A 24697-nucleotide genomic window follows, 5' to 3' on the forward strand; every position below is an offset into this window, starting at 1 on the left:
ATGAAGGACACAGTGAGAAAGAAAGTCAAGATGATTTATCCCTCTAAAAAAAATGAACATAGCAAGATTTTCCGTTCTAATTCTATAAATGAGATTAACAATGAAGTGATATGCATACAAAGTGCTAAGGTTATTTGGTTAAAAGAAACTAAGGTAATATTTTCGGAGAGAAAAGAAAACCAGAGAATAATTCTATCCCTATTGTTGGCATTGAGGATATTGCTTCAGCAGGCATATATCTTAAATGTTTTAATTAAATTCTTTTTACTGGAACTTACTCTGTTACTTCAAATTAGGGACCAAAAAAAAAAAAAAAAAAAGAATACCGTTTCTCTCTGCTCACCAGCTTCTTTTGATAGGAACAGTAAGCTTAAACTATGTGGCAAGTTGACTTGAAACTTAGTTACTCCCCAAAGAAAAGCTACTGATATGTCACCATTTTGTAAAGGATACATGCATTTTTTTTGTTTTTTAGACCAAGTCTCGCTCTGTCACCCAGGCTAGAGTGCAGTGGCGTGATCTCAGCTCACTGCTAGCTCCGCCTCCTGGGTTCACACCATTCTCCTGCCTCAACCTCCTGAGTAGTTGGGACTACAGGCTCCCGCCACCACGCCTGGCTAATTTTTTGTATTTTTAGTAAAGACAGGGTTTCACCATGTTAGCCAGGATGGTCTCATCTCCTGACCTCGTGATCCGCCTGCCTCGGCCTCCCAAAGTGCTGGGATTACAGGGTATGGTGGCTCATGCCCGGCCGGATACATGCATTTTAATTTGGTGAAAAAATATTACTTGCATTAAGGGGATTCTGCCTCATTGCCCTTAAAAAAGTTCTCTTCCCTACAAATTTCCAAACTAAAGGGAGCATACATCAAAACAACATTTGCTGTTTGTCGCTTTGATCAAGAAACACCCATTTCAAAAATAAACTCAAAACTAGGCCAGATTTTTTGAAAAGTCCCTTCCCTAATTAAATCAGTCAATATAAACAGCTTAGCCTCCCCACTGGATAAGAAAGAAAAAGTGGGATGGGGTGAGGGTGGGTAGGTAGCCCAGGTAATAAGTAATTGAGTTGGGTTCCTTAAGCTTCTCATTTTGCCTGTCGCCATGACTGTCTTCAACGGTTAGCTCTATGAATCTCTATCAGACTTGAGTTGGAATCACACTGTGTGATTAGGGACTTAATATAGTCTTATTTGGGTCTTCAAAAGCTTCTTTTGCCATTATATATTATACCAAGGTAATTTTAAAAATAATCTTATTGGCCAATGGTTTAGAAAGAAAGATTTTTTTTTTCTGAAGAAGATCCACAGTTCTCCTCTCTGTTTCTGTAAAGTCTTATATTTTTCTGTTTTTTGTCCTTTTTGTCTACATAAAGAGAAAGGATGTTTAAGAGTAACTGCTAGGCAGCTTGCTGAGAGAAAAAAGCCAAGGGTGGAGGAGTGGGGTGGGGTTTAAATAGCAGCCAAATTGAGCAATAGTGTATTTTCCTCTTCAGAATGAATTAGGCTATTTTCTTCTTTTTCATACTTGTTCTTTACTGTGTTTTTGTTAAAAAAAATTTTAATTGTGATGAAAAATACATAACATAAAATTTACCACCTTCACCACTTATAAGCGTGCAATTCAGTAGTATTAAGTATATTCACATTGTGGTACAACAGATCTCCTGAACTTTTTCATCTTGCAAAACTGAAACTCTATATCCATTAAACAACCCCCGTGTCCCCACTTTACTGTTGTGTTTTAAAAATATTTATTTATTTGTTTATTTTGAGACAGGGTTTCACTTTGTTGCCTAAGCTAGACTGCAGTGGCGCAATCGTAGCTCACTGTAACATTGAACTCCTGGGGTCAAGTGATCCTCCTGCCTCAGACTCCCAAGTAGCTAGGATTACAGGTATGTGCCACCACACCCAACTACTTTTTTTTTCTTTTGTAGAGACAGGGGTCTTGCTATGTTGACCAGGCTGGTCTGAAACTCCTGGCCTCAAGCGATCCTCCCACCTCTACTTCCCAAAGTGCTAGGATTACAGGCATGAGCCACCATGCCCAGCCTTACTGTTGTTTGTAAATTAGAATTAAAAAGATGGACTTTTCTGATTCTGTATAATGTTTTCATCAATTCATATGTCGAAAAGTCAAAATTTTAAAGTATTTTTAATATAAGAGATACCTGTTTTCTATGAACAGTGATCCTATATTTCTATAGGTTATTTATCTTTTCTTCTCTCCTACACATTTTCAGGTAGGTGAGACAGGAACTCATTCACATCCTTGAATCTTTAGCCACCTCTCTGACTCCTCATAACGTGAGGATTGAGGCTGAGTTGTCCTCTAATAGCAGGAAGCAGAATAATCCTTTTTTCCTAGATCATATGTCAAATTTATTTTCTTCTCTCTCTTTCTCTTTCTTTCTTTCTTTCCTTCCTTCCTTCCTTTTTTTTTTTTTTTTTTTTTTGTTTTGACACAGGGTCTTGCTCCATTGCCCAGGCTGCCACAATCTCAGCTCACTGCAAACGCTGCGTCCCCAGGCTCAAGTGATCCTCCCACCTCAGCCTCCCAAGTAGCTGGGACTACAGGCACACATCACCATGCCCAGCTAATTTTTGCATTTTTTGTAGAGCCAGGGTTTCTCCATGTTGCCCAGGCTGGTCTTGAACTTCTGGGCTCAAGTGATCCGCCTGCCTCGGCCTCCCAAAGTGCTGGGATTACAGGCGTGAGCCACCACACCCGGCCATGTCAAGTTTCTAGAAGCCATTTCTTACCTTCTCCCCACTCATCCTCCCCATTCCCCCCACTCTTCAGCAACTGTGGCATACTAGTCTCTGGTCTTAGGGTTCATACCGGCTGCCAGGGGTCCTTCTTGGGTTGGCTCCAGTTTTCTGAAATCTGGCAGTTAGTTAATAAGAAAACGAGGGATATAAATAATGGGCTTAGACAGTTTCCTCTGGGTATGCTTTTAGGTTCTGTCAGATTTATTCATTCCTACACATGAGGAAGAGACCAATGTTCCCTTCAGACATGAATATGAACATAGACCAGAGATAAACAAGGTGGGGTGTGTGTAGGGAGTAGGAGGGAAGCTCAAAGTCCAGATGCGTATTAGCACCGGTGAAAACACACCCATTTATGAAGAACAGGGATCTCATGCTGGATAAGGGGACAAAAAGCAGAATTCTTAACCTGGCAACTACCATACTGACAGAAGCAGGGTTCTCACTCATTAATTCATGATATTGAAGTACCACTGGTATTTCTAAAAACAGTTTTCAAAGCATTATTTGTTTTGTGATCTCAGTAGTTTGAAAACTCCAAAGGAATGTTTATTGGAGATCTATTATCTACCATGCCTTGTACTAGACACTGTAGGTACCCAGAAGAGTAAGAAAGATGTAGTCCCTTCCCTCAAGAATCTTACTGTCTAGTTGTCAAAATCCTGGAGTATATTATAAGTAGAGGCCAGGCGCGATGGCTGATGCCCATAATCCCAGCACTCTGGAAGGCCAAGATGGGAGGATCACTTGAGGCCAGGAATTCAAGACCAGCCTAGGCAACATAGAGGCCCCATTTTTATAAAAAATTTAAAGATTATCTGGTCATGATGATGTGTGCCTGTAGTCTCACTTACTCAGGAGTCTGAGGCAGAAGAATCCCTTAAGCCCAAGGATCCCTCTGAGGCTGCAGTGAGCTGCGATCATGCCACTGTAATCCAGCCTGGGTGACAGAGTGAGACCCTGTCATCAATCAATCATTAGATACGTAGTTAGAGGATAGATAGATAGGTAGGTAAGTAGATAGATGATAGCAGAGAAGGCTGAGAGCTGATACAGGCTGAGGAACAAAGTCAGGGGACCCTAAAGTTATTCAAGGGATTAAACAGGATAAGGAAAATAAAGCACTCAGCAGACTTCCTGAGACACTGGTCAATAAATGGAAGTTGTTGTCAGTAGCAAGAATAATATTCAGATAAATTAGCTCCAGGAGTAGATCTCGTTGGGAATACAGGGCATACGCATATGCTTCTCAGCAGTTTTATGACAAGTACCAAAAATTTGGTTCATAAATTCAGGGAAAAAATGGCTGGAGCAACTGGGAAAAGATCTTGGAAGAATGGGACTTACAAAAACAAAGGGGGACAAGGAGGATAGCCTAGCCTTATAAAAATGAGATGGTGGGCATGTGTCTAGTGTTTTAGGAACATGAATTCAACCATACCTGTGTGTGCTATTCACCATGTGGCATCAGAGATGAATGAGGCAGAATCCCTGCTCCTAAAACACTTTTCATCTAGGAGGAAGATTTTTGTTTTAATGGTATCAATAGATTTATTAAAGTTAAAACGTGATAAAGGCTATAGTAGATGATTGAATGATGCAGTTTTGAACACTTAGAAGAGAGAGAAGTTGCTTTTGGATGAGGATCAGAGGCATTTCATTGAGAAAGGAATATATTTTGCAGGTCCTGGGAGGTTGGCTAGAATTTCCATAGCAGAGATTGGCGTTAAGGAAAGGATCGAAACCCAGACAAAGGAAAATGGAGGAGGGAAACCAGGGCATGCTTGTAAAATGGTAATTATTCGACTCATTAAAGGTCGTTAGAAAAACTCTGACCCTTGGAGAGCGAGACCATCCTGGCTAACACAGTGAAACCCTGTCTCTACTAAAAATACAAAAAATTAGCCGGACATGATGGCCGGCGCCTGTAGTCCCAGCTACTCGGGAGGCTGAGGCAGGAGAATGGCGTGAACCCGGGAGGCGGAGCTTGCAGTGAGCAGAGATGGCGCCACTGCACTCCAGCCTGGGCGACAGAGCGAGACTCCGTCTCACAAAAAAAAAAAAAAAAAAAAAAAGGAAAAGGAAAAAGAAAATTTCTGACCGTTATAGCTTAGCCAGTTAGGATGAAATCAGGCAAAGTTATGTGAAAAGGTACAATTTTTAAAGAAAATTTGAATAAATTCCCATTTACTGAGGAAAAATCATTCTAGAGACATCTGGGGCTTTGTCCATCCCCCATTAGACTTACGAGGTAAAAAGGGTTTAGAAGTAGCTTGGTTTTTCTTAGTGCCCTGAATAGGAATAAAGTATTTGCCTGTACAGAATGAATGTGTCCACTTTCCTTTACCTTCTAGGAGATAGCAAACTTTGTCCTCTTATTAAAATAGTTTAACCTACAGCACATCTTGGTTATCCAGGGTGGTGTGAGAGAAAAGCACGGGCTTTGGGGTTGGGCAGACTTCTCTGAGTCTTCATTCTCTCCCTTCTTTACTGTTGGACCTTGGGAAGTTACTTAAAAGTTGAGCTTCGTTTTCTCTTCTATAAAACAGGACTGATAATAGCTACCTTAAGGTATTATTGTAAAAATTAGAAAGAAAGTATATAAATAACCAGGCGAGGTGAATGACCAGGCAGCACAAAATACATGGTGGCTGCTTCTCTTACCAATAGACAATGGCGCAACTCTTTGTGGGCAAGTGTGTCTGTCTGTATTGCCATGATTTTTGGTTTACCATCAAGAAATGGCAGCCAAGAGCCTGCTAGAATCTGCTCAGGACTCTGTTATCTTCTTGCCTTTGGCCAATACAAGCACATGTTGGACACCGCCCAAATGTGCCCACTATAAGAATTTTAAAAGTATATTTTTCCCCCATCTTATCTTTTCGTTTCTAGGCAAGAGCGCTAAAGTATGTGGCATAATACTCACATCCGGCTTGGAGTAGAACAGTTTCCTGAACACCTACGGGGAGAAAGTTGTGCTTAAAAGCAAATAAACTGGAAAGTCAAGAAAAATTTTCCTCTTGCGTGAATCTGCTTGTGAAAGTCTAAAATAAAATGTGTGATTTGAGGCAAATGAAAGAGATCCTAGAAAATTAAGTACTCTGAAGAGTTATCGTGGTGGTTACTGGCTAGAATCCCTCTTAGAAGCACATTGTCTGTAGGTTTTTAGAGAATAAGAGAGGTGAATTAGCTTTTTTAAGTCAACAATTAAAGTGAGACTGCCAACAAAAGTAAACAGGAGCTACATTTAATTTCTGTTTTTCCTTTGAGAGCCAAGGAGGCCAGCACTTCAAGTCCAATGAAACTGCTAACTAGCTAATGGAAAATTTTTCTTTTCAAACATAAATATTAAGGTTTACAAGTAAAGATAAGGGTTTTTTTGTTGACATAGAGCACCAAATAAGACTTAGCCCCTTTTAGAAAATTTGTGGACATTCAATATCATATTGTCTGGACCTCAGTAGGAGTAAATCATCAAAGGAAGTCATTTGCATTTCAGGAACCCCAATTAGTTTTACCCTAGCAACTTTTCTTGCTTTTATCTCTTGAAGTTTATTTTTCATGGCACTTTGGGTTTTCTTAAAGCAGTGTATGGCAATGTTGATGACCTTTAAATATTTATATGTAGTCAAGACTTTATATACCAAAGTCTTAAGAAGACAACTGAGTCAGTCGGATGGGTGTTTTGATGCTATGAATAAAATTGAAAGGCCCAAAATTCTGATATGACGCAAAGACATGAAGTGCCAAATCAATAAGCAATTTTATTTTTTATTTATTTTTTTGAGACGAAGTCTTGCTTTTGTTCCTCAGGCTGGAGTGCAATGGCGCGATCCTGGCTCACTGCAACCTCCGCCTCCCAGGTTCAAGCAATTCTCCTGCCTCAGCCTCCCGAGTAGCTGGGATTACAGGTGCCTGCCACCATGCCCGGCTAATTTTTTGTATTTTAAGTAGAGACAGGGTTTCACCATGTTGGCCAGGCTGGTCTCAAACTCCTGACCTCAGGTCATCTGCCTGCCTCGGCCTCCCAAAGTGCTGGGATTACAGGCATGAGCCACCCCACCCAGCCGAGCAATTTTTTTTAAAAGTAATTTTAGTTTTGTTGTTGATGTTTTTTATTGTTATGAAGAAATCGTTGGTGTATTTGATGATTCTCTTGGTCAGCGAAGCTGCTCTTAACAATAAATAAGTGATAAGTTTGTAGCAATGGAAAAACATGATTCTACCAGTCATTAAAACAGATTTCTACAAGTCATTTGTTCAACTTGCATGCCAGTTTATGACAGTGTCACCTTTCTCTATTTCTAGTTCTCCTGTCTCCTTACTTATCACATAAGATTAGAGTCAGATACCTCAACCTAGTCTTAAAATCCCCCACCCACTGCCCTCCAGGCACGCTAGTGTCTTCCATCCCAGGTCTACTCTTGGCCTAGTCTTTCATCCTTTTCATCTCATTATCTCCTACACTGTTTCCCTGGCTCTTTTTCCCCACCCAGTCATCAGGCAGCTTCTCAGACAGGGAAGCAGTATTTGTTAAAATACAAGTTGTAAGCCAAGGATAGGAACTGTACCAAATTCCATGCTTAAATCTTCTATGCTTCCCCTTCCTCATAGCTCCCCCAAGCCTTTACTTATCTTCATCTATGTCGTTAAAACATGAATATTTTTCTAGAAGAAAAAAAAAAGCTTCCATTAGAACATATGGGATTATGCCCCAGAAAAGATTCAGTCCTCAAGTCTTGTGCTTTTTGGACATCATCAATTAAAATACTCACTTGTCTCAACAGAAAATAATATTCTCACTTCTGCTCAGGCAAAGGTTAGGTTCTGAATGCCATCCAGCTCAGCCTGTCCATCCTGCACATAACCACCTCCCCACACTCCCCAGGCACATTCTCCTCGGTGACAAGGACCTACCGGTATTTGAATGCACTCCAGTTGAACCCATGCTGTTAAGGACCTGTCACTTGTGGAGTTTTACCTTTCAGGATTCTGGGCCATCATTACTCATTGTCACCTAGATCACATGTCTTTTTCAAAGAGTCAAATGCCCTTCACATACCAAGCACACTTCACTTTCTTCCAGAAGGTTGTCGCCACTAACAGGAGGTGGCAGCTGTTAGTAATTCACATCAACCCTGTTGAGAGCTTCAAGGTTGAAAAGGAAAAACACTTTCTCCAGCGCAAACAACCAGAATCAGTTTTAAGCTGGTGAGGTTTTGTTGTTTGGATTGCAGCTTGACCTATACCTTTTTTTTTTTTTTTTGAGACGGAGTCTCGCTCTGTTGCCCAGACTGGAGTACAGTGGCGCAATCTCTTCTCACTGCAAGCTCCGCCTCCTGGGTTCACGCCATTCTCCTGCCTCAGCCTACCGAGTAGCTGGGACTACAGGCGCCCACCACCACGCCCGGCTAATTTTTTGTATTTTAGTAGACACGGGGTTTCACTGTGTTAGCCAGGTTGGTCTTGATCTCCTGACCTCACGATCTGCCCGCCTCGGCCTCCCAAAGTACTGGGATTACAGGCGTAAGCCACTGTACCTGGCCCGACCTATACCTTTTACAAGTGAATTTACAAAGTGGATTTTCTTCTCTGAAATTTTGCTCGGGGACCAAAATTTAAATAAATACCATAAGTGAAAGACATTACCCTATTTCTCCCACATAATCGTCACTCACCCCCATACATGTTAAGTGCTGCCTGATTAATAAGAGCTAAAATTCAATAAGCACTTCCTTTATAGCAGGGACTATCCTAAGTGCTTCATATAAAGTATTACATCTAGAACTTCAGCAACTCTGTGATTCAGATTCAATGTTTAGCTACCATTTTGTAGGTGAGAAACTGCTTCATGGGGTAAGTGGTCATCACAAGATCACATCATAAGCGCTGCAGCCAGGACTCAAATTTACCTATTCTGCTTCAGAGACTACACTTTTAACCATTAATTCCATGATGCAATACTGTCTCAACTGAAATGGGATTCCACCTTGGTGGCAAAGTCATTATGATCAAAATCAATGAGCCCGGCACCTCCCATTCAATATCCTCCCCATGCTGTCAGCATGACTTCTTGAACAGTGCAGATCTGATCATGACACTGGTATAAAAGTTGTAGTGATTTCTCTTTGCCTACAAAATAAAGTACAGATCTTGAAGATGGCCTAAAGGGCCATTATCTTCCACCATCTGCCTCTCCATCTATATCAACTGCCACCTGCCCATGCCCTAGTGATGTCACTTGCAGTTCCACAACTGGCCTGTGCTGTTTGATGCTTTGAGATCTTCAAACTTTCTGCCCTGAACTATTCCTCCCCTCCTCTTAGTTAGCAAGTTCATGCACATCCTTCAGAACCTCTCCCAAGCATGTCCTGTGCATCCTTCCCTGACATAAATATCCTCTCCTCTGTTTGCTACCAACACATAGAACTATTTATCAAAATTATCATAGCCACTATTTTCAGCTCTCATGTGCCAGGCATAGTATTGAACACTTAGCATGTTTGCTGGGTACAAATATTGAACCACAGACATAATTAAGGGAGAAATGTTACTGTTTCTTTAAAAAAAAAAAACTGACCATAATTTCTATTTTGAGACCTCATTCAGCTGGGAGACAGAAACTTAGTATCAGCCAATTCAGGATCCCCTCTAGCTCCTGGGGTTGCAGCTAAGTTGTAAGAAGCTTAGGCAGAGTCTAGGGTGTGTGTGTGTGTGTGTGTGTGTGTGTGTGTGTGTGTGTATGTGTCTGGATGAGATTGAACCTTTGGTATCCTTGTCACCATTCCCCATGCTAGTGTCTGGTTGGTGTCTGGTGTCGGGATGTTGGTATCTGCAGCCTTTTCAGATGGATTAGGAATCTGTGCCCTCTTGGATTACCAGAAACAATTTGCCTCTCCTGAACCACTTTGGACTGGAAAGATTGGTGGAAGGTATAACACTCTCTCCAGCCCAGGTGTACCACACAGACATTTCTTTCATTCCCACTCCATGCTGGGCTCGCAGGGACTCTGGGACTGAGTCAGTTCTCCGGAGTCTTGCCTGGGACCAGGGCCCACATCCTTTGTGCCCTCAACTCTCTGCTTCTCTGGAGCTTTCATCTTGCCCTACATAACACTCCTAACTCCCCTCCACTTTCCCTCTGGCTCTCCTTGCCTTTCTTTGTTAGTCCTAGAAAGCTGTAATGTCTGCTGGGAAGAAAAACTGGCTCTAATTGAGTATTCTTGCACATCTTAAGTCGGGCACATGCATTCCTTTGTTCTATGAGTTCTGTTGTGTTCCCTTGTTTTTCTTTGGTCAGTGAATGACACTGACTGGGAAGAAAGATGAAGGTTACTGGAAAAGTCAATGTTATGAGTAAGCAGTTAATATCTCACTGTTACCTTGGCCCCAAACACACACACTCAATGATTATCCCATATTAATTTTTATAAAAACCTTCTGTGGAAGATGTAATTACCATTTTCACAGAGGAAAAACTGAGGCTTAGTGAGATCAACTGACGTCACCCCCAGCAGGCAAGATCTTGAATTCAGTCCGCACTTTTGACCACCACACTCCACCATCCTTAGCACATGGGACTGAAATAATTTCTTTAGATACCTGGGTTTTCCACTACACTGTGAGTTCCTTGAAGTTAGGGTTGGACCTCATCCATCTTGATATCCCTATCCCTGGCATATAACAGGTTCTCAGTAGGTGGCAGTTGAATTGAAATGGGTCAAGGAGAGAGAAAGGAAAGGTAAGAAGGAAAAAAAAAAAGGAGAATGAGAAAATTCCCTTATCTTAAGCTATTTTGAAACTTCCTGAATGATACTCTGCCAGCTAAAATATAAGTGGAATGAAAAGTTTGATGATTATCTAAGTCACGTCTAGCACTGAGCTCTCCTTATATTATGCTGTCAAATTATTCTAGCCATAGAAATTAATTCCTTGTCTCCAGGAAAGAAAAGGGTATAATGTGGTTGGTGACATAGCAATGACAAGTGAGGAAAATGTGCATATGTGAGCAGTGACCAGTGTGGACAGTTTTTACCAGTCAATGCAGTAATAGCTGATTTTTATTTACTTTTCTAGACAGTACCATCCAAGATGCTGGTGGCATATAAATCTGATAACTTGAGGAATTTCACAGCTTTCCATTAAAATTTTATCTGAAAGCCCTTGTTTTACCACATTACATAAAAGCCTCTGATAACAAGTATCATATTTATTTGCCCATGAATGTAGGTGAAGGGTAGAAGTTTTAGGCTGTGACATGCCCAAGTTACAGTCAACGTAGTTTTGCTGAATAGTTTTTTTTTCATAATCATCTATTATGTGTTTTATTTTTTAAAAAAATTTTATTTGATGTTGTAACAGATAACTAGAACACAACATAAATGAAACCATAAAGTTAATCATTTCTCTGCCCCACCTTTCCCAGGTAACTTATATTAACAGCCTGGGGTGTGTTCTTCCTTGGTCATGTAATGTTTGTGTTCTCGCACAAATTCTCATTCATAGAAGTTTGCTTTTTCTCCTTATAGTGTTTCTCCTGACCTCCTTCCTTGCCTTTACCCTCCAGCGAATTTCCCTCATTCTTTCCCCCTTTCTCTTCCCCATTCCTCCTCCATCTCTTTTCTCTCTCTCTTTCTTCCCCTTCTCTATTTTTCATTTTCTACCTTTTTTTCTTTCTTTCTCCGTTAGCCTTGGAGGACCCAGGCTCTTGGAAAATTGCATTTATCTTCAAGGTGTGACAGTTCAGTTGAGTTTTGACTCTGAACATTTTTCTTGGGTTGTCTTATGCCTCAGCATAAGAAAGGAATAGAAAAGGGTAGGCAGAAAGTCAAATATTCAGTTAATCAAGATTAACTTATTTGATGGAACTACTTTAGAACCCAGGATGCTTTTTAAAGTTATTAAAATGTTTATTATACAAATGTAATTCAAAGAGTAAATCATGGTTCTTGTTTTTAAAAAATCCTCAAAGTCTATAGAAGTGTTTAAAACAAATGATAAATTTTTATTTATCTGCCAGAATTCTTCTTCCTGCAATGCCACTCTCCAAGAAGAGTTTAGCTTTCCTTCATGAAGTTTTTCTGGATATTTATAAAACATGTAACAAATATTGTATGTACTGGTGGATGTAGACAGCAAATGGGAAGCTTTTTCACTAGATAATGTGGACATCTCTCCATGTCAGCACATATAGGACCCCCTTCTTTCACTTTAAATGCTGCATAATATCCTTTGCAATTAATTTAACTATTTTCTACATGAACATTTAGGTTGCTTCCAATTTACAGGATGCATTTCTAATCTTTCAACCAAGACTTCCCAAAAAGAATGCTGTCAATTCTTGTCTCCTTAATGACTTGGAGCTGCTGACCTGAGTGACTGTTATTTAACCAGTGACCCCCATAGCCTTGACAGGGTCCTTTGTGTTCCGTGTCTCCATAAGGACAAGAACTTGCTGGCTACCTTCACCCTCTGAGGCTATCCCTGTAGGTCTCATTCTGCTAATATTGTTGCTCTGTTCTTTCCTAACCTTTTTGCCTCTGTTTAAACCTATACAGGTTTGATACAGGCTCCATGCGCATTGTAGTTGACTGCTGTGCTAACATACTTTGGTAGCATAGATAGTGAATAACTCTCATCTACCTAGTCCTCCTCTCTCTTTTCTTTGGGTTCTCACCTGTGCAAGATAGCTTTCGGGATAATAGCCAGGATGCATTAATGCCTTTACTTGGGACCCTGGGGCTATAAAGAACAACAGAAAACCTGGAGGTGCTTTGGTCACTGTGAAACAGCTGCCACACAAAGAGACCTTATCCAGAGAAAGGGTGAGGCCAGTATCAACTCAGAGGATCTGGGGGCTCACTGGCCTATTTACGGGAAAAGACTGTGATAGAGATGTTAAAAGGTATTTGAAAAGACAAAGTAACTCTGAGACGCTGAAAGAAATTATAGAGTTTTCCTCCTTCATGTTCACTACATGAAATAGATCATTTCTAAGGGGTTGGCATGGCCTTAAATGCATTTCCCTAAAGTTTCCATTTTAACATCTTCTTCTAGGACACCTAGGATGGTTGTTCACTTGTTTTTCATTTTGTTGTGAGTGGTTCCAAAAAATCAAAATATTTATTAAAGTGAATATTATGCTAGAAGCTATATATTGTTCACAGTAAACCCCAACACCCATTTGAGAAAGCAGCACATCATTCGTTCCTCCTAATATTTTCTCTCCTAAGCAAACAATCTATGTTTCAAGTGTGTTCTTTCTTTGTAGTGTGTTGTTTATATTGGTCATTAAACAGTTCCTAAAACTGACTTTCAACTTATATATAAGTTGTTTCTCTAAGGTGTCAACATTGAAAAGAACAGTATAGAGCAGGGGTGTCCAATCTTTTGGCTTCCCTGGGACACACTGGAAGAAGAAGAATTGTCTTGGGCCACACATAAAATACACTAACACTAACGATAGCTGATGAGCTAAAAAACAAAAAAAAATCACAAAAAAAAAATCCCATAATGTTTTAAGAAAGTTCATGAATTTGTGCTGGACCACATTCAAAGCTATCCTGGGCCACATGCGGCCTGTAAGCTGAGGGTTGGACAAGCTTGGTATAGATGAACCAGGGAATTTATTGTATGACTGTGACAAGAAAGAGTTAATAATTATTTAGCAAAGATTCCTACATTTCAAATAATTGTTTTTCACATCAAAGCTTTAGTTGTAATAATAGAAGGAATGTCAAACTGAATTGGTAAGAAATAATGGTAGACTATTTCTAAGTAAAATTTAGTAATATTTTAAAGTATAGGCTGGGCACGGTGGCTCACGCCTGTAATCCCAGCATTTTGGGAGGCTGACACGGGCAGATCACTTGAGGTCAGGAGTTCAAGACCAGCCTGGCCAACATGGTGAAACCCATCTCTACTAAAAGTACAAAAATTAGCCAGGCATTGTGGTATGCACCTGTAATCCCAGCTACTCGGGAGGCAGGAGAATCGCTTGAACAAGGGAGGCAGAGGTTGCAGTGAGCTGAGATTGCACCACTGCACTCCAGCCTGGGTGACAGAGCGAGACTCCATCTCAAAATAAAATAAAAGAAAGTATAGAAGTAAGTAATGATAGCCATTTTTTTTTTAGAGGCAGCGTCTTGCTCTGTTGCTCACACTGGAGTGCAGTGACACAACCCTAGCTCACTGCAGCTTCAAACTCCTAGGTACAAATGATCCTCCTGCCTCAGCCTCCCTATTATTAGTAGCTAGGACCACAGGTGCATGCCACCACGCCTGGCTAATTTTTTTATTTTTATTTTTTGTAGAGATGGCGTCCCCCTATGTTGCCCAGACTGGTCTTGAGCAATCCTCCCACCTCAGCCTCCCAAAGTGCTGGGATTATAGGCATGAGCCCAGCCTCGTAGACTATTTCTAAGTGAAATTTAGTTGAATATTTTAAAGTATAACATATGTTACAAAACCAAATTGCCATAATATATATAAAAAAAGCTAAACTTGTGAATAAATTGAGAACCCAAATAATGTATGATTTCTAGATATAGTCTTTTTAAATATACAATTAATTAAATGTATTAGACTTACATTGAAAATGTATTAGACTTTAAATTAAGATGAAATAATTCAAAGAATAAGTGCTGAATCTAGAATTTTGAGATGTATGACAATAATCTGAAATTTCTAGAGCTTTTTGTCTGAAAAAAGATACTCATTCTCACAGGTCCCTCCCAACTAATCAACTGTAGTAAAAAAACAAACTTCTCAATATCTATATGAATCAGACCCTCTGAATATACTAGATCCTCAATAAGCATACTCTAATTTGATGTGATTTTAAATATTTCTTACAGGTTATTATATTTATCTTTCACTGACAGTTGGATTTGTAGGTTGAAATGTTTAAGAGAGAAGGGAGGAAACTGACTTGGCATAAATGCACACAGTGCTGTTCTGGCTGCCAGTGTTGTGGGTTCTGTCACTGACTCCCTGGTTTTGACTCAGGACCACCTGCGGGACCTTGCACACCTCAGTCTGGTGTACCTCTGTGCAGGTGGGTGCTGTGCTGCTCTAGGACCATGTTGGGGACTTATTCCAGTCTCTCTGGTCTTTCCTTCCCACAACACACTCCAGCACCAGAGGTGGCTTTGGCGAAGGAAAGGGAGCAAAAAATGATAACCTATTTAAAAACGTCTTTTGAAAAGTGTAAATTTTAATGGCATGTGAATCATCTGTCCATTAAAATATTTAAAATAAAAACTTTTAAACAAAAGAAAAAATGTACAAATTACAAGTTCCAGACTGGCCATGCACACCCTTTCTAAGACAGGCTGTGCACCTTTTTCCTATGTGTAACTTTCTCACAAAATATTTTCGCATTTTTAAAGCTTTATTTCTTCATTAATATATTTGATTTTAATAAAAAGTAAAATGCTTTCGATTCTAATGTGATGCATTATTTCTGAAAGCAGTCTTAAGACAGGAACTAAAGGGCAGTGTGATTTTACAGAGAACATCTTTAATAGTGGCTGGGAGTTTACACATACACACACTTGATATGTGTAACTATTTCAGGTCATTCTTTCGTCTTGTGGAGGAAGGGACAGACAAGGAGAACGGAGGTACCAGTTGAGCAAACTAACCCCCAGCTCATGCAGAGAGACATTAGCATAATTTTGTATTGTTGCTGAAATTTCTTCATGTCTTACTTTTGATCCCATGAGACAAGTTGTTTGCTTCCATCTAAAAATATCGGATGATGCCTCTACATTGCAGATACAAGTTAAAAGTGTTTTTCCAGAATCTATGTTACAAAGGAAGCCCAGGGACCTCTGGTCATAGTGATGAATTTCACTGGTGTAACATCCATGCTGTGTGGGAGGTGAGATTTGGACCCAAACTGTGTTTTTAATCACCAATTTACAGTGATGTTTCACACAGAAGTAGAGGGATCTGTTCCACCCTTATGAGATTTCACCTGACCCAGAGCACTTAGAAAACAAGATAAAGCAGCAGCAGGAGAGGAGGCCTTATCTGTTCTGCCCACAGAGCTCCTGGCTGTGTTCTCCAGCTAATACTTCTTACTCCCCCCCACGCGCAATGGCAGCGGCAATGTGCGTTATAAACTGCAAGGGCTGACCACTTCTTCAAAGCTTAAGTTCTGGACATCACCTCCCTCTCCCCCAAACAAGATTGCCACAGGACACGAGGACACAGAACAAACCATATTAACCTCTCTGCTTCCAATGCCTAGCAACAATGTTTGTGGTTACCCCATGACTGTGTGACAGCTGTGTATGTGTTGATACCTGCTTGTGATACCATAGGTAAAACAAAATACAATTTTAAGGAGGATAATACTTTATGGCAGGGAGGAGCCTGTCCATGAAGGTTTCAGTAAAGAGGTTTATTCAGTGGTTGCCATGGCTGCTAATGCTCCTGCATTCTGTCAGGATATAAGAGCACAGACAAGTAAAGGTAAATGTGGTATCAGCTGTTTGGTAAGGGAGGTTTCTATTTCCTACCTAGTGAGGTCTTCTCTGTGTCTATATGCATATTTATTACCTTAAATATAGAACCTGGACATTTAACAACAGGGATTCTGCTTGAATGAGAATAAAGCCAATTTCAAACCTTACTGTTACTTTCATCTCTGGAGGTGACACGTGAGAGCAATTAAGAGAGGACTCTGAGGGGAAAAAATTCCTACCTCCGTTGAAAGAGGCTGGAAGAACCTTTGAAGAAAGATGAAACTTAAACTAGCACCATCCCTTCCTTTAGAATATTAACTGGACGCCTATATCATAAATGCAAAACAAATGCAAATGGATATATTTTCTAAAATTCCAAAGTTTGCAAAGCTGAATCCAAAATCTCTCGAAATTACAGTCATGACGACCGAAAGAATCACGTCTCTTGTCTAATCAGAGACGATGCTTATGGAAACAAAAACAGGCCCGGAAGGAAGGCTTCAGCGGCATTCACCACCACCTGCATCTCTGCTGTGACTTACACTGAGAAGAGGGCATGCTGAGAAAAAGGATGGTTATTTTCCTTGTAATGCGAGCTTTTTTTTTTTTTTTTTAGCTGTGAACTTTTTACCTTGCTTCATTCATGCTTCATTTGATCAATTACTAACTGTATAGCCTCTGAAAAGCGAGCGCGGGCTTCTTAAAGTTGATATTTTGCTTTTGGATTCCTCTGCATTTTACAACGGGGGGAGGTTAATTAAGGCACCTTTCTGATTGAATGGGCAGAGGGACTGAGGGTGTGTGCTTCGGTCCGGTCCCCTTAATACCGTAAGGACCCAAGGACCGCGGAGGGGCGAGTGGAGCGCGACGCTTCCACCCCAGAATCCGTTTTCAAACCTTAGGGAGCCTTCTTTGCCATTGAAATGCAAATCCGGTCCTGAGCTCCCGGGCCAATCCGGGAGGCTTCCTGTGGGATTACCTGGTGGCGAGCGAGCGCCGAGCCAGCGCCGAGCCAGCGCGGCCCCTCGGGTGCGGCGGGCGCGGGGTGGACTGAGCGGGCCCGGGCGGGACGAGAGGTGGGCGAGCGCCCCGCACCCTCGGCGCGCCGCGCGGGATCAGCGTCCTCCAGCCGCGCTGCCCCGGCCCACCGTGCAGCTGTAGCCGCGGCGCGGTGGCGCGGTGGCGCAGGGCGCTGCTGGGCCGCCCATTGTTGAGCGCGTTGGGCCCCGCCGGCGATGCCGCGCGCCGCCTCCTCGGAGCGGCGGCGAAGTTTGAACTTGGCGTCGGCCTGGAGCCCCGAGCAGCCCGGGGGCGGCGGCCGCGAGGCGAGCGGCGATGGTGAGTGAGGAGGGCGGCTGGGCACGGAGAGGGAGGCGGGGGCCGGCCGGCTGCTTTCTGGAGCGCGTCTATTTCGGGCTCTGCGGCGACTCTGGAAAGCCCTGTCTGGAGGATGGCTCCCAGGGGCTTTCACGGCCAGCACCCCGGCTGATGGGGGCAGGTGGCGTGCTCCGAGGGTCTCCTGACACTCCTAGGCCTTGGCTTTTTATCAGAGAGGCAGTAGCTGCCACTCCAAGAGGAAAATAATTGTTGATTATTGACAGCATGAAAACTTTTCGGAAGAAATGATCTGTGAAATATTTTAATTTTGATAAATTGCTTCCCACCAGGGCCCCTGCTGAGTTGAGAACTCCTTGCCTTTCTTAATTTTACTGGATTTGTTTCTGTAGGAAAGGCTCCTGAAGTGCGTTGAGGGGCACGCCTACCCCCAACCCCCACTTGCTCCAGATCTTAAGACAGTTACTTAAATAGTGTGTTCCTTGTGCTGCAGCAACACTTAAATCATGAAAATGAAATTCTACCTGACGCTCGCTTTACTCCGAATTGCCAGAGGAATAAAACTTTTGCTGGTGGGGGAGGGGAGTGGTTACAAAATTTCAACACCTGGAGCACTCTCTGGGGGTGGGATGTATTTCTCTTCCTCTAGGATGTATTTTGGCATTACCTTTTTCCCCTCTCCCTTTAAATAGTAGTGTTGTTGTGGCGCACTGTGTGCACGGGAGCTTCTGCACTGGGAGCAAATGGGTGCCCTGCATGCGGGTCATCTCCATGGAGAGATTGCTGTGATATCGGGGGGTGCAACAGGAAGTCCTAGCACAGAGGCTGCCAGAGAGAGTTCTGTGCATTTTCTGTTTTTAATTAGTTGTTTTAAAGCCTAGTTAAATGTCCGTTTCCAGTTAAAAGCACCCTGGTCGGATATATGGCTAGATCTTTCCCCCAAAAAATTTCACCAGAAGTTGGTTTACATTTTAAATTTATTTTGATGGTTACCTTTTTTTTTCTGATTATAAAAATATTACACAATCGTTGCAGAAAAGGTGTAATATACAGAGAAAGAAATAAACTCTTATAACAACATCTATGTTTTGTTTGCTAAGACCTAGTTTTTCACAGAATCCTAGTCATTTGAAAACTTTTCAGCTATGGACTTTTTTTTTTCTCCATTGCTAACAATCCTGGTTTAGGAACTAAAGCTAGGAATTGACAAGGAAATAAACTTACTTAAAAAAATGTTATAACCAACAATAACTTATTCACATTGCCCATGAGTTGGAACAGAATTTATTGTGGCAATTTCTCTTGAATCAACTTCCCACATCTGCTCCCAGCAAATGGTTTCTGTTTGTACAGCCTATTTTGTAAATACATCTCTCTACCATTAAGGCGAGGTGCCCAAACACATACCCCTTTCCAGTGCTTGTGGCTTGGCTCATATGGTTAATATGTTTATTGGCTTCTGCATCAGAACTTCCTCACCATACATTTGATAAAACCCTGGAGAAGGTTACCAAGGGATGTTGTAGAGAATTCACTTCCCTGGAGATTTTAAGAATAGGATAAACATCCATCTGCCTAGGATGGCTTCAGTGCAGTACTGTCTGGATAAAGGAAGACTAGGTCACTACTCTGAACCTCAAAATTGAGGAATTCTAAAATTTGTTTAGAATTCCTCAATTTTGACCTGGGACCAGGTCCTCTGTGACCTGGGACCAAAGCAAATTAAGGTTGCCAAAAGTACCTGAGCCCAGTAGGAGGTGGAGCCCTGTTTTGATTTATGTGAAACAAAGTTCTTCTTTTGGTAACAGATACGTTAAATTATTCTTAGGAGTTACCAATCCTTTTCTATTATGGATAGAAAATCAACAATGATTTAACTGCTTTCTGGGAAGGTATAGGTGAATTACAGTATAAATTCTGTGATTTTAAAGTAAATGAACTGATTCATGGGAATTAAAAGTTTTGCCTGAAAGGTGGGCAGGGTGTGTGTGAAGAGTGTGCCTGAGTTTTCTCCACTTTTAACCTAGTGTTATTTTTAGAATCCTGTCTTATGTGTTAAATCTGGTTACATTTTTAAAACATCAACATTCTACTGTCTCTTCAATGTTTATTCTTGCTTTCCCTTTTCATGCAGAACCCATACAGACCTTTGACCAAAATCAATTATTCTTGTAAGTTCTGTTCGAGGATGTTTCCCTGGAGTCCAGCAGTGCTGAGGTTTTGCTGGTGACTTCCAGAAGGTCAGGATTTCATGGGTTGCCGCTTCTTCTGACTTTCTGTTTGACAGAAGTATCCTGTAATTCTAACCACTGTGTGACCTCAATTGCCTTGACACCTTCCTCCCCTTCTGTAGTATCACTTGAACAGGAGCTGTTTCCTCCTGCAGGATCACTGAGAGGGGTTCACTTTCTAGGGAAGGTCATGTCAGAAAGAAGATTGGGAGGTAGAGCCTGGTGGCTGGGCAGTCTTCACCTTGCCTGAATGAGCAATGCCTCCATTTCACAGCCTTCAGCTTGTGGGATTTCTTCATGCATGTCAGAAACTAGTTTTCTTATGCTGTTGTAACACCCAAAGAAGGAATAGGGGCATGAACAATGGTCATTCATTTATTCAGCAATCATTTACTGTGTGGGAGGCATCCCAGGAACTGGCGATGGGTTCCCTGCCCTCAGGAACTCGTCTTATAAGAGGCAAAATAAAACATGTTAATAAGCTAGTGCCATTCTGAAGGTGTAGAGTACAGGGGTTAAGAAATTAAGTTTGTTGTAAAGTTAAACATACACCAACCTATGACCCAACATTTCCACGCCTAGGTATTTACCCAAGATAGGTGAAAACAAATGTCCACCAATGACTTGTACAGAATGTTCATAGCAACCTTATTTATAATGACCAATACCTGGAAACAACCCTACATCCATCAACAGGAAAATGGGTAAAGAAACAGTGGCACATCCATACAATGAATACGACTCAGCGATCAATGGGAATGAACTCTTGATACAAAAACCTGGATGAGTCTCAAGAGCACGTTAACTGAAAGCAGCCAGATACAAAATAATAATAAGCAATTCTATTCATGAAGTGCTAGAATAGGCAAAACTAATCTATGACAGAAGTCAGTGGTTGCCAGTGGGTAGGGACTGACTAGAAAGAGATAAGAAGGGATTTTCTGGAATGATGGAAATGTTTTATGTTTTGTTTTTCGTGATGGTTTCATAGGTATACACAATTATCCACACCCATCGAACTGAACACCTAAGACCTGTGCATTTTATTGTATGCAAAGCATTACCTGAATTAGAAGAAAAACTTAGGTTCTAGAGTTACACAAGAGTATACATCCCACATCTGCCTCTAGGCATATATTACCCTGGACAAGATATTAAATAAATACCTCTGAGCTGCAAGACATTGGACAATAATAGAACATCTTCATAGGGTTGTTGCAAAGATTGAGTTAATGACTGAAGGTACTTAGCTTAGTAAGAACTCAGTAAATGTCAACTACTATTTCCAGGCACTGTGATAAATATAATATGTGATTTTGGAGTTGATGAAAAAGTATTTACACTTTTGTGAAAGCCATATCATTTAAGATTATCAAGGATCTTATATTAACTGGTATCCTTATCATTATTACTATGCATACCTTCATTTTGATAAGTTTGTTTTTTTTTTTTTTTTTTTTTTTAAAGCAACAAGACAGAGTCTTGCTGTGTTGCCCAGGCTGGAGTGCAGTGGCACAATCTTGGCTCACTGCAGCCTCCACCTCCCGGGTTCAAGCGATTCTCCTGCCTCAGCCTCCCAAGTAGCTGGGACTACAGGCACATGCCACTATACCCAGCTAATTATTTTTGTATTTTTAGTAGAGACTGGGTTTCACCATGTTGGCCAGGATGGTCTCAATCTCTTGACCTCGTGATCTGCCTGCCCCAGCCTCCCAAAGTGCTGGGATTACAGGTGTGAGCCACTGCACCTGGCCCTTGATGAGTCATTTTTTAAGGTTGTGGGGATTTAAAATGTGAAGTTCTTGTGTACGTGATCAAAATACTACTGGGGTTTGGTTTTGCCAGCAGAAGTAAACTCCAAAGAGAGGAACTACGCACTAGGCAAACTCCTTTTTTTTTTTTTTTTTTTCCTGAGGACTGATCTGAGGACTGATTTAATGATGATTGTCGAAGCTGAGCTCCCAGATGAGGCTCACAACATCTTCTGGGAATCCAAATGAAAGGTTAACATACTATATTCTCTTCCCAAAGATGTAGGTAGAAAAAAAAAACAAAACTCGATCTCTCTATCAAAATTAACGTCATGCTTTTCAGTAAAATGCTTTGGACAGAGTGGTAAATTTATAATAGTTTATTTAATCTATTAAGCTTCAGTGATTTAATTTAAGTTCAACAAAGCATTTGGGAAAGATGTTATATATTTTGCCAACTCCAAGTGAGGCATTTTGTTGTTGGGTTGGTTTAATTCATTCAGTAAACATTTGTCAAACATTTACTGAGAACGCATTAGCCTCTGGGAATTCAATGATGAATAATAAGACATTGTACCCTCAAGGGTTCATAGACACTCCAGCCACAAGTGTGAATGTGTACACATTTCTTTTGGAATTTTTCTCAGAGCAGAGAGGTCTGTCTCAGGCTAGTCTTTTTGTTTGTTTTTTTTTGTGTTTTGTTGTTTGTTTTAAAAGCTCCTGCTTACAGTGGAGGTTTAAAATCCTAGTTCTTTTAATTGATGTTATTTTCTTAAACATTGGCATTTCTCATTAAGGCTTCACTTGTTATTCCTTACTAAAAATAGCAAAAACAAAATGGTCTTATATAAAGGCAATTGAGTACAGTGGAAAGGTCAGAGACTGTGCAAGTAGAATGACCTACGTTTGAATCTGAGCTCTGCTACACTAGTAATTTGGAGAGTCCTTTAAGCAGCTGTTTCCTCATCTGCAAGATGGTGATAATGATACCTTAAGAGAGGTATTAATATTTATTAGGTTAAGGCTGTTATAAGGATTAAGTGACAGAATACATGTAAATATAACTAGGCTGGCACCTGATAGGTGTTAATTCCTAACATTTATTGAGTACTTACTAGGAGTCAAGCACTGTCTAATACGTTTTGTGCTGGCTGATTTTATCTTCCTCACACTCCTATGAGGCAGGCACTGTTACTATCCCCTTTTAAAGGTGAGGAAACCAAAATCATAGGTTAAATAACTTGCTGAGGGCATGGAGGTGCCAGGGTTAGTACCCAATACCATCCTGTCAATTAATGGATGAGGTCTGTAATAGATGTCAACTATCTTTCCCTTTTAGATATGATTGTTTTATACCAATAAGTGGAACTAACTAGTGCCCTGCTTATGGCTGCATGCAGATTAATACTGGTGGTGGGGGATGGTTGACTCCTTGAATATGTTCTTAAATGGTTAATGGGTCTACCACCTTTGGGGGTTTGTGGGATGCTTGTAGGAAAGGCTCTAATGAACATGTCTTTTCTTTTCCCAGCCCCTCACAAGTCCACCTGTGAGGTGGTCCTCTCTGACATTGTCCGTTGCTCCTTACCCCCAATGACTCCAATTAGGAAGTCAGTCGACTTATTTGTGAACAAAAAATTGGAGAATCATGGCTGCCTATTAGAATTTGACCTATGCTTTGTGAGGTCTATGTAGGGATGGACATAGATGCAATATTTTCTTGGTCTCCAAAAAAATAGCAAGGTAAGAAATGTGCCCCAGAGCACTGTTACAGTAAGAAGAAAAGTCTACCATTGATCCTGGATATTTCATATTTCCTATTTCCATTGGCATTTTCTCAACTCCCAGATTCTGGAGAACCTTGAGCTAAAACTTAAATAAAAATAAGTTCCAAATGGTACGTTGAAAACGCTGCTGATTTAATGAAGACGAAGTCACCTTGACCAATTCATTAAAATAATGTATAGATGCCCAGGGGAAAATGTAATTAAATAAATATGGATCCTAGTATCTGTTCCTATATGAGCCTTTTCACTTAGTTTCTCCCCCAAAGTCCTGAGTGTCGTGGAAGATACTCTGGATTATTGGTCCTGACATCAAAGCCTCTCCATTGCAGTGTGGAGTTAACTAGGCAGCCAGAATCTCAGGACCATTTCCTCAGCCACTCAAGTGGTGCCACGTTGGTCTATTTCCAGACCCATCGAAGAAGCCCCTCAGCATGCAGAGACCTTTGGAGACACTGGACTGAAACCAGATGGTGCAGAAAGAAGCCCCTAAGCAAAGTGTTGCTTGCAGCCCTGTATTTGAAAGAGTGCCACTGTGTACCAATTATGTCCATCCAAATGAGCCGTATTATTTTGGGGCAAAATGACTGGGAAATGAAATTATTAGGACTCTGCTCTCTGATGGGGAAAAAATAAATCTGGAAGAAGAACCTACAAGGATCTTAGCTGTCTGCTTGTCTCTGACACTCTCGAGGCCTTGTGCCAGGCTGCTTTGCTGTGCAAAAGCTCCACTTCAGTCTTTTAGTCTGACTCACAATAGACGCACATGGTTGAAGTTAGGAGAATTGCAGGACTGTCACTTGAAGTCCCTCTCAGCCTCTTCACCATCGCCCCCAGCCTCTTTCCCTCTAACATTAAGCCCTTTGTGTCGGTTCCCATGGTTACCTCCTCACTACTGGCAGCTGGAATGTGATAGTGAGAGGAGGCTGCCTCCCCTACTGAGCCAGGTCTGGCTGGGGCGGAGGCCATTGATCCGCAGCTGGATTTGTGAAATGGGGTCACAGTCCAGTACCTTCTCTTTGTCGTGGGTTCTATACCTTTCCCAGGCTTGACATATCAGGGTTGCAGTGGGAGGGGACATGGTGGGTGATGGACTGCTCACAGGACATGTCCTGTCATAGGCTGGCCTGGCCTGGCGTCCCTGACCTGCCAAACTCCTCCCTGAGGTCACCCTTCCATGTGTGAATGCCCATTGAGGGGGAAGGGGCTGCTCTGCTTGGTCAAATAAAAATGATGACTCACTTCTCTACCTGCTTTCTGCTCAGATTCTGTTCCCAATACCATCTGTTCTTAAGTTAGTCAACATTAACAAGGGTGGGCTCCAGTCTGGAAAGAATTTGCATCAAAGGC

The 24697-nt window shown here is 41.4% G+C and overlaps 1 protein-coding gene across 1 annotated transcript in view, besides 3 other annotated features; it reads left to right on the forward strand.

Moving 5' to 3' along the window:
* The window catches only part of SHROOM3 (shroom family member 3), a 348025-nt gene that overhangs the window by 236890 nt on the left and 86438 nt on the right, over positions 1-24697 (forward strand). The window lies entirely within an intron of this gene.
* Positions 16943-17465: an enhancer, noted in NCBI's record as "OCT4-H3K27ac hESC enhancer chr4:77610214-77610736 (GRCh37/hg19 assembly coordinates)". NCBI's record gives its function as "activates a minimal SCP1, AML or CMV promoter by ChIP-STARR-seq in primed H9 embryonic stem cells {active_cell/tissue: H9 hESC(primed)}" and the evidence as "EXISTENCE:reporter gene assay evidence [ECO:0000049][PMID:30033119]".
* Positions 16943-17558: a biological region, named in NCBI's record as "OCT4-H3K27ac hESC enhancer GRCh37_chr4:77610214-77610736".
* Positions 17379-17558: a silencer, noted in NCBI's record as "silent region_15488". NCBI's record gives its function as "represses an Ori minimal core promoter by ATAC-STARR-seq in GM12878 lymphoblastoid cells {active_cell/tissue: GM12878}" and the evidence as "EXISTENCE:reporter gene assay evidence [ECO:0000049][PMID:35858748]".

Source organism: Homo sapiens, chromosome 4 (genome assembly GCF_000001405.40).
Source record: "Homo sapiens chromosome 4, GRCh38.p14 Primary Assembly".
Taxonomy (NCBI): Eukaryota; Metazoa; Chordata; class Mammalia; order Primates; family Hominidae; genus Homo; species Homo sapiens.